The following is an 8,269-nucleotide window of genomic DNA, read 5'->3' as shown; positions in this document are numbered from 1 at the left end:
AGATTAAATTATTGCTTACATATGATACAGTATAGGTAATAACGCACGTGAAGTACCCAGCTCAGAGTCTTGCTCCCTTTCCTTAACTCCCTCACATTTTGAAACTTACGGTTCACTTCCCAAGTCCTTCCTACGCTTCTCCCTAGGAAGGGCGGAGATCAGCCTCCTGATGCTGCCACTCTGATGCCAGACCCTGCCTATTCAGGGAATGCCAGGAGCCCTGGTTCCTGGAACAGGACTCCTAACCCAGGCCCAGTCAGTGTATAGAGAGGGCCCTCTATCACCTCCTAGAGTCACCCCCAACTTTATGGTGAGGACTTAACTTCTTTGCTGATTCATTGCTGTTATGATGAATGAGATCCCTCTGCTAGAGTTGCACAGTTACAACCACAGCAGCTGTTCATGGCTGCCCTGATGTTGAAATTCTCAGTAACTAAAAACAGGCGCACTGGGATACAGCCCCATACCAGGTAGGGTGAGAGGAAGGGCTAGCAGGCAGAATCCTTGTAGCTTTAGAAGGTCTCAAGAAGACCTGTAACTCCAGCTGAGACAGAGGCCTAGCTCCTCTGGAGGGCAAAGCTTAGACACGTCTCCTGATGCATCCAAATTGGGATGGGGTGGCTCTAGCTCTTAACGTTTGCAGGCCTTGTGTTTATTCTCTCTGAGCCTCAGTTTCCTCGTCTGTAATATGTGGGGATAATCCCTGGCCTGTTTACTTTCTCTGGTTGTGAGATAAAGAAAAATCTGAAAGTCTTCTATAAACTCTCCAGTCCTGTTGAGATGTAGTTCCACCCATAGCACACTGAATTCCTTTACTTATTTTTTTGAGCACACAGCTGGGCAAGGGGGTAGTTGGCTGGGGTTGTAATGGTGAGTACAATAGGCATCTTTCTTCCCCTCAAACATCTTGAGGGACAAAGGAGAAAAGAATTATCTAGCACCTTCCCAAGGAGCACTACAGCCTCCTTCTCCTTCCCTGCCTCCATTTCCTTCCAGGAAGGACTTCCTAGGTGACTCACATTGTGCCCAGCACATCACACACATATGTCACATCATTTGATCTTTCAGCCAACTGAGGCAGTGCCATCACCCCCATTTTAGAGATCAGAAAACTGAGGCTCAGGAAATGTAACTTTAAGCGGAGGAAGCTGGATTCAAATCCAGATTTTTCTGGGCTCTCCAATGAGAGTTAACCTCTGCACCATACAGGAAACAGATAATAAACAATTACTGAGGGCTTGTTAGGTGTCAAAGGACAGTGCCAGACACTTTCTGGACTTTATTTTACTGAAACCCTACACCGACCATGCCAGTTAGGTATATTAACCCAGTTTTACAGATGAGGAAACTGAGTCTCCAAGAGAATAAGGGAAGCCTCTCATTGCCATGCTGGTTGACGTCTTGGGAGTTGGACAGATTACAGTAATCAGCTAATGGCTGAGCAGTGCTCTGAAGATGAAAAGCCCTTATTGAAAGTGCTAAGCATGATGATTAAGTTGGAAGGTGGAATTAGCTGCACAGTGGGAGCAGGCTGCAGCCAACAGGAGAGGATTAGCGACTACTTGCCTGATTCTGTGGAAGGCAGGTTAGGAGCGAAAAAAACTGAGAAAGGTTTTCAGCTCCATGGTGGTGCTCACATCCAAGAGGATGAGACAGTCTGTGGACCTGCAAGGCAGTGATCACACCCCAGTGTTGAAGGGATCAGACAGCATCCATGGAAAGCAAAGTGGGCTCCCAGCTCCCTTTGCCTTTTCTCCATCCATCCATCCTTCCATCCATTCATCCACCCATCCATCCATCCATCCAACAATTACTCACCAAGGACCTAGTAGGCCTCACGCAAGCTCTCATGAGGCTCCCAACCCAGTGGAGGGAGATACACATTTAACAATAATCACATACCAAAGAATTATTGTTCATTTTTTAGATTTAATAACAGGAGCTTTGCTCTTTTGATTTTATTTTTTAAGACTTAACTTTTTTAGAGTAGTTTTAAGTTCACAGGAAAATTGAGAAGATGGTACAGAGACTGCCCCCACGTTGTGCACAGCCTGCCACAGTATCAACATCCCCCAGCAGAGCAGAGCATTTGATACAGTAGTGAGCCTGCACTGACACACCATCATCACCCCAAGTCCATAGCTCACATTAGGGTTCACTCTTGGTGTTGTACATTCTGTGGGTTTGGATAAATGTATAATGACATGTATTTGTGGTTATGTTTTATACAAGAGCCCTTATTTTTAGCAATACCTACCAAAACATTTACAAATGTGTTGCCTCAAATTAATACTAGGAGGCAGGAGTGAGTAGGGGTAGAGATAAAACAAGATTGACCTCGAGTTGATCATTGTTGAAGCTGGGTGATAGGTATATGGAGTCTGTGATACTGTTCTGTTTTGGGTTTTTCTGGTAAATGTTGGAAACTTTTCATAATAAAGTTTTGTTTAAAAAAACAAATATTGATAAATAATTAGCACTTATAATAAGTGCCACAAAGGAAGAATGAATGGCGTGATGAGAGATTATTGTAGAGGGACCCACTTTAGACTTGGGGGTGGGAGTAGGGGGTCGGTTTGGGACAGGGTGAAGCATTGGGGCATCCTTAAGCCTCGTGATTGCCAAAGTAACCCTTTCTGTCTCCTTCCTCCCAGAAGGGCAGGCTGGCAGTGTCCTGGGGAGAGACCCCTACCTTTTGAGCATCACTAGCAACCTACTGGGAGACCAGGATCCTGGAGAAGTCAAGATCAGCCCCAAAGTCCCTCATCAATTGTGATGGAGGGAACAGAGGGAAGTCCCAATTGCAACCTGCACCCATCGCTGTGCATGCCCATGTTGTGTGTGTACATTATTTACCTACTATGAGCACGGCCTCATTAGAACAACCTCAGGGGAGGGGAGCAGGACTCCCCACTTTACAGATGAGAAAAATAAGGCTCTGAGAGGTAAAAAAGGACTCGCTCAAAGTCAGCAGCAGAGCCAAATACCAAGGTTTATCATCTTGTTAGTGTCTCCCCAACCGCCCCCCGACCTGTTAACACAGCCATCATTCCTACATCGCAGGGAGAAAAATTGTTAACAAGACGGCTGGAACCTCAAGCCACAGGAGCTGTGGGCCCAGAGAAGGCAGGGCCATTCCTCTTAAGTGTAAAAGCCGTGGGGTGAGGGCATGCGGGAAGGGAGTGAGAGCTATAGTTTGCTGGAAATCTGAAGAACCAAATGACCTTGGGCCTCCAAACATGAGACAAAACAGAGTTCAGGGGTAAGCGCTCCTCCCCATCCCTTCTAGTGTCCCTCGGATGCAGATCTGGCTCAATTTCCAGGTATCTGTGAAAGGAAGGGTTCCAGCTCCAGGTTAAGGGGCACATGCTTGGTCACATGCTGTGGGCTGGAGGGTATAGGGATGGACCTTGAGGGAGTATGGGGTAAAGGACCTTAGGCACTGGGAGCCAGGGAGCTCTCAGGCCAGTGTGCCCCACTATTTCAGGCCAGCAGTGTCCACAAAGTGCACTCGGGATTTTTCCAAAGTGTCCAGCCTATAGCACTCCTCACAACAAAACTGGATCCCTGTATCAAAAGACAAAATGATAAGAAATTTAGCTTAAAGATCTCAAATGGCTTTATTGCAATTATAGAATCTGGCAACACTTCATTCCATAAAATAGAATAAGTGTTCTGATAAGCTGAGCAGAGGGAGTTGGTTTTATAGACAGAGAGGGCTGAAGGAAACAGAAGAGAAGAACAAAGAGCCTATTAGTTGCTTCAGAGCCACTTCCCTCACGAGGTGGGGACAGGGAGACAGAATGATAGAAAAACAACTGATTCATTAGCATCAGGTTACTCAACGCTACTTCTTTCATATAAGGAATAAAGCAGAGGGGATTCACTCTTGTGACCATTGAGATTTGAACTGGCCTGTTTGGGACATTGGCTGTTACCTCTTTTCAGGTAACTACTTAGTTTGGGTTTAGTGCCATGGAACTTTAGCATGGGTGACTCCCTTTGGATTTTTAGCCTGGTCTGCTGGGGCCTAATTCAGAAACTTAGTCCAAAACAATGGCCTCCTACAATTTTCATTTAACGCTTGCCTGCTCTGAGAAGAGGAGGAATGACAAGAGAGCAAAACATGGGCTGGCCCTCTGCCCTCACTGGTAAGGAGCTCACCTTTTGGACTCAGACCTGGATTCAAATTCTTGGGCAAGCCACTTAAATCCTCCAAACCCTAGTTTCCCCGTTGGGGGGCAACATCTCCCTCTCAACTGAGGCATTGTGAGGGTGAAGCAGACAATGAGAGCAAAGCATTTGGCAGAGCATTTGGTCCTCCCTGAAGCCAGCCATCGTCCTCCTCCTCACTGGGCAATGACACCTCCCCTAGTTGTTCTCATCTAAGGTGGTGTTTCTCTAGAAGCTGATCCCAGACAAGGATTAAAGTGCAAGTCGTTTATTAGAAGTGAATTCAGGAAGCTCCAGCTGAAGAATGAGGAAGTGAGACAAGAAAGGGAAGGAGACCAAAAAAAGATGTGTTATCAAGCAGGTTACCATTGTAGACAACGGGAGCTCAAGCCCATAAGGGAGCTCTGGGGAACAGCCTAGCAGAACAGTCGTTCTCAAACTTCAGCACAGACTCACTAGGAGGGCTTGTTAAAACACCAATGACTGGGCCCCAGCCCCTACAATTTTAGATTCAGTAGGTACAGGGTAGTAGTAGGCTAAGAATTTGCATTTCTAACTAGTTCTCAAGTGGTACAGTTTGCTGCTGGTTTGGGACTACACCCTAAGAACCACAAAGTGTCTCAGCATGATCTCACTTGAGGGATGAGGAAGCTAGGGAATTTATCCACCAACTCCCTGTTCATCAGTATTTGGGAGCTGCTTCTGAGGGCATTCACCCTCTGGCACTCAAGTTGACTCAGGCTAAAATCGCTCCTATGGCCAGAAAAGCCCTATTAAGCCTGTTGCTAGGGTCTCAGGTCCTTTGGCTGGGAGACAGGGTGGGAGGAGAACCGCAGAGAAGCTTGCAAGGTAGTTTGACATCTGACTGAAGGATTTCAAGGGAAGCTAAGGGTCAAAGACGGCTTCGTTGAGTCCCTAGCTATGCATTCATATGGTCGTATATTTTTGTAAAATTAGCAAAAATATTTTGTTATGATTTCTTTTTACATTCTAAGTTCATTTTTGTACCTAACTTTATATTTGTAATTTTTTATTCTTTTTTCCAAAAGAGGACCCCCCCCCCCAACATTGTCTAAGCTTCAGACCCCATAAAACCTGGATTGGCCCTGCATGGCCTAGTAGGAACACAGATTTAGGTTTGCTGAACTGAAATGAGTGTCCACGGTTTGACTCATTAAGAACTCAAGCCACCTGAGTTCATGCCCACCCAAGTTCAAATTCCAGCTCTGACACTCCCTAGTTTGAGGTAGTTTGGCCAAGATGCTTAATCTGTCTAAACTCCTATTTTCTCATTTACAACTTGGGACAGCAAAATCAGATGATCAAATTAAGTAATCCTTGCAAAGAGCCAGGCCGACAGTAAGTGCTCAACAAATATGAGTATCTTTTTTATCATTATTTGTTCCCCTGGTTTATTTCTGTTTCTTATCATTTGCCTTGACGATCTTCCTCCAAGACCAGGTAGGAATGAGTGATCTGGGGACAAAACAAAAAGCCGCTTCCAAAATTGGCAGGTCGCCTCTCTCTAGGGCTTTCTTGCCAGTTCTTCCAGCCCTACTGGCTCCGCTCCCTCTACTGGGCGTCCACCTCGTTGCCGGGTAACTACCGACGGCCCCCGCGCGGGCATTGGCTGTGCGGCCCGGCTCCCGGCCTGCCCCGCGGCTCCCGGAAGCCCTCGCGGCCATCTATTTCGTGGCCGGTGGCTGTTTGCCTGCCAGAGGCCAGCGGGGGCGGTCCAGTCCCTGGCTCTAGGAGCTGTTTCTGGCCGAGCTGAGCGCGGCGGGCTCGGCATAGCCATGAGTTGCTGAACTGGGTGGTTTTGCGGACCTGACGATTCGCCATACCCCGCTTGGTGTGTCACTGCCGTGGGCGTCTCCAGGTAGCCTCAGCCCAGGGGATACCTGGAGCGGCAGCTTAGAGCATCTTCCGGGAGCATCCGCCGGCGGCCTGGGCACCTCCCCATCAGCCCCTGCCGTGCCACCCCAGCCTGGGCCTTGAGGCCCGGAGATCTGAGCACTTCGGGACCTATCCCTCAGCCTAACCATCTTGGTTCAGCTCTGTGACACTGGGCCAAGTGACCTTGAGAAAAGACAGGGCCGGGCGCGGTGGCTCACGCCTGTAATCCCAGCACTTTGGGAGGGTGAGGTCTTGAGGTCAGGAGTTCGAGACCAGCCTGGGCAACATGGTGAAACCTCGCCTCTACTAAAAATATAAAAATTAGCCGGGCGTGGTGGCAGGTGCCTGTAATCCCAGCTACTCGGGAGGCTGAGGCAGAGGCAGAGGCAGGAGAATCTCCTGAATCCAGGAGGTGGAGTTTGCAATAAGCTGAGATCACACCACTGCATTCCAGTCTGGGCAACGAAGGGAGACTCCATCTCAAAACAAAACAAAACAAAAAAACACAGAAACAAAAACCCACTTCTAATTGCTGCTACTCAGCATATACATTCAGGGAAACTTGAATCTATGCTCCTGGGTGGCCATCCTCAAGCTTTGGGCTTGAATAAACTCTATAGCTAGTCATATTTTCTATATCTTATTATTTAAGGTTGACAAACTTCAGAAGCTTCTTTGCCCTTCTGGTACTGATAATACCAACAGTGAATAATAAGTGACATTGTTATTGGTTGCTTACTTCCTACCCCTGATAAATGGTCTAATGTTGAAATCTAAGAGGTATAATAGTTATTACATGCATTTAGTAGAATGGGTATAATGAATGAGGAAATAGGCTCAGGGAAGAATTTGATTTGCTCTGACACAGCTCTACAGGGCCAGATTTCCAACCCAGGCTAGTCAAGTCCAGAGCCTGCAATTTTCACTTCAAGTCTTCCTGTGAGGATTGACAAGAGGATGTTCAGTCTTAGCCAGGTGCCTGGCAGCTACTGAGGGCCCAGTGGAGGTTAGTGGGCAAATCATCATAGTAGTTTCAATAAGCAATAGTTCTATCAGTATCAAAGAGTGGCTGTGGTCAGAGCTTTGTAAGAGACACATTGCCGTGTTTACTTAGGACAGGAACAATCTGGAGTTTGTTTCCACCACTCCCTGGAGTTTCAAGTCCTTAAAAATGTTCAAGCTGGTTTGGCTTTGTGTCTTCTATTTCCTGTTTACACTTTGCCCCACCTCTATTTTTGCCCCTTCTTCCCCCTCTTCTAGTTATACCTAACACCACTGCTGACGCTCTTCGCTTCTGAAAAATGGCCAGCTTTCTGCCCTCAATTTAAAGGGATCAATCAGTGGCCCCAGAAGTTCTTATTTTTCTTGGCTAAAATGAAAATGGTGAAAACACCAACCACAAAAGGCAGACTCTTGTTAATGGGGGTCCTAAATGTGAAAGGGAGAACTTACCTGGCCCATGAGTATCTGTTTGGCTTTCAGGGGAGACAGCCGTCTGTGTTCTTCCTAAATGTCAGCTTATACCACTCTGGGGTTTGGGGATTCCTGCCTGATTCTCCATTTCCTTGCCTATGAAATGAATAATATTAGTCACGTCCGAGTACCACCTGCATTTTTTTTAAAGTGCTTCTTAAATTGATTTTTTTAGTTGATTTACTTATATTTACTTTTAAAATCTGTATGTCATTACTTTAATGGAAAACCACTATCACCTGGCGTAAATAGAAAGTAAGAAACCACATAAAGAGATGAAAATTAAAATATTGTTTTCAATTCTAGTGGGCAAAACCTTGATCTCTTTGTTAAAAAGGGAAACTGTTGAGTTTTAGTGAGGTGTTGAAGAATGCAAGCACTAAACTGCAAGTTTCTCCTGTGGGTAATCAGGATTGAACGTACTGAAAAGGGGAGAACTTGGACGTGCTGCAGTTCTGTGTTTAATACTCTGCTTGGTAGCACCTAAAGTCACACAGCACAGTACCAGCACTTCACTCTTTCCACATGTGGAGAAACGGTGGCCGCAGTAGTCCTTGGAGCCTTCAGTGCTCATGTCTAATAACAAGCATTTGCTCTGATTCTCTTAGGGTCGGTGGGGCAGGTGGGATGGGGTGCAAATGGATCTAAGAGCAGGATAATAACAAGAGCTAATATCTGATAGGGTTTTTGCAGTTCACAAAGCTCTCTCACAAGCCTGCTACTTCTG

At 46.5% G+C, this 8,269-nt stretch overlaps 1 protein-coding gene across 1 annotated transcript in view, besides 3 other annotated features; it reads right to left on the bottom strand.

Moving 5' to 3' along the window:
• SLC29A3 (solute carrier family 29 member 3) overlaps nt 1,910-8,269 on the bottom strand; it is a 62,165-nt gene continuing 55,805 nt past the window's right edge. The window contains exons 6-7 of the mRNA XM_047425425.1: nt 7,522-7,638; nt 1,910-3,567 (exon numbers count right to left, since the gene is read on the bottom strand). Of these exons, the coding sequence (XP_047281381.1) occupies nt 7,548-7,638 (91 nt within the window). The 3' untranslated portion in view covers nt 1,910-3,567; nt 7,522-7,547. The remainder of the gene's footprint in view (nt 3,568-7,521; nt 7,639-8,269) is intronic.
• Nucleotides 5,741-5,810: a silencer, noted in NCBI's record as "silent region_2463". NCBI's record gives its function as "represses an Ori minimal core promoter by ATAC-STARR-seq in GM12878 lymphoblastoid cells {active_cell/tissue: GM12878}" and the evidence as "EXISTENCE:reporter gene assay evidence [ECO:0000049][PMID:35858748]".
• Nucleotides 5,941-6,090: an enhancer, noted in NCBI's record as "active region_3514". NCBI's record gives its function as "activates an Ori minimal core promoter by ATAC-STARR-seq in GM12878 lymphoblastoid cells {active_cell/tissue: GM12878}" and the evidence as "EXISTENCE:reporter gene assay evidence [ECO:0000049][PMID:35858748]".
• Nucleotides 6,146-6,706: an enhancer, noted in NCBI's record as "H3K4me1 hESC enhancer chr10:73136384-73136944 (GRCh37/hg19 assembly coordinates)". NCBI's record gives its function as "activates a minimal SCP1, AML or CMV promoter by ChIP-STARR-seq in primed H9 embryonic stem cells {active_cell/tissue: H9 hESC(primed)}" and the evidence as "EXISTENCE:reporter gene assay evidence [ECO:0000049][PMID:30033119]".

The sequence above is a fragment of the Homo sapiens genome, chromosome 10 (assembly GCF_000001405.40).
Source record: "Homo sapiens chromosome 10, GRCh38.p14 Primary Assembly".
Lineage (NCBI taxonomy): Eukaryota > Metazoa > Chordata > Mammalia > Primates > Hominidae > Homo > Homo sapiens.
Note: the sequence above shows the minus strand (reverse complement) of the source record. Positions and strands in the feature narration are given on the sequence as shown.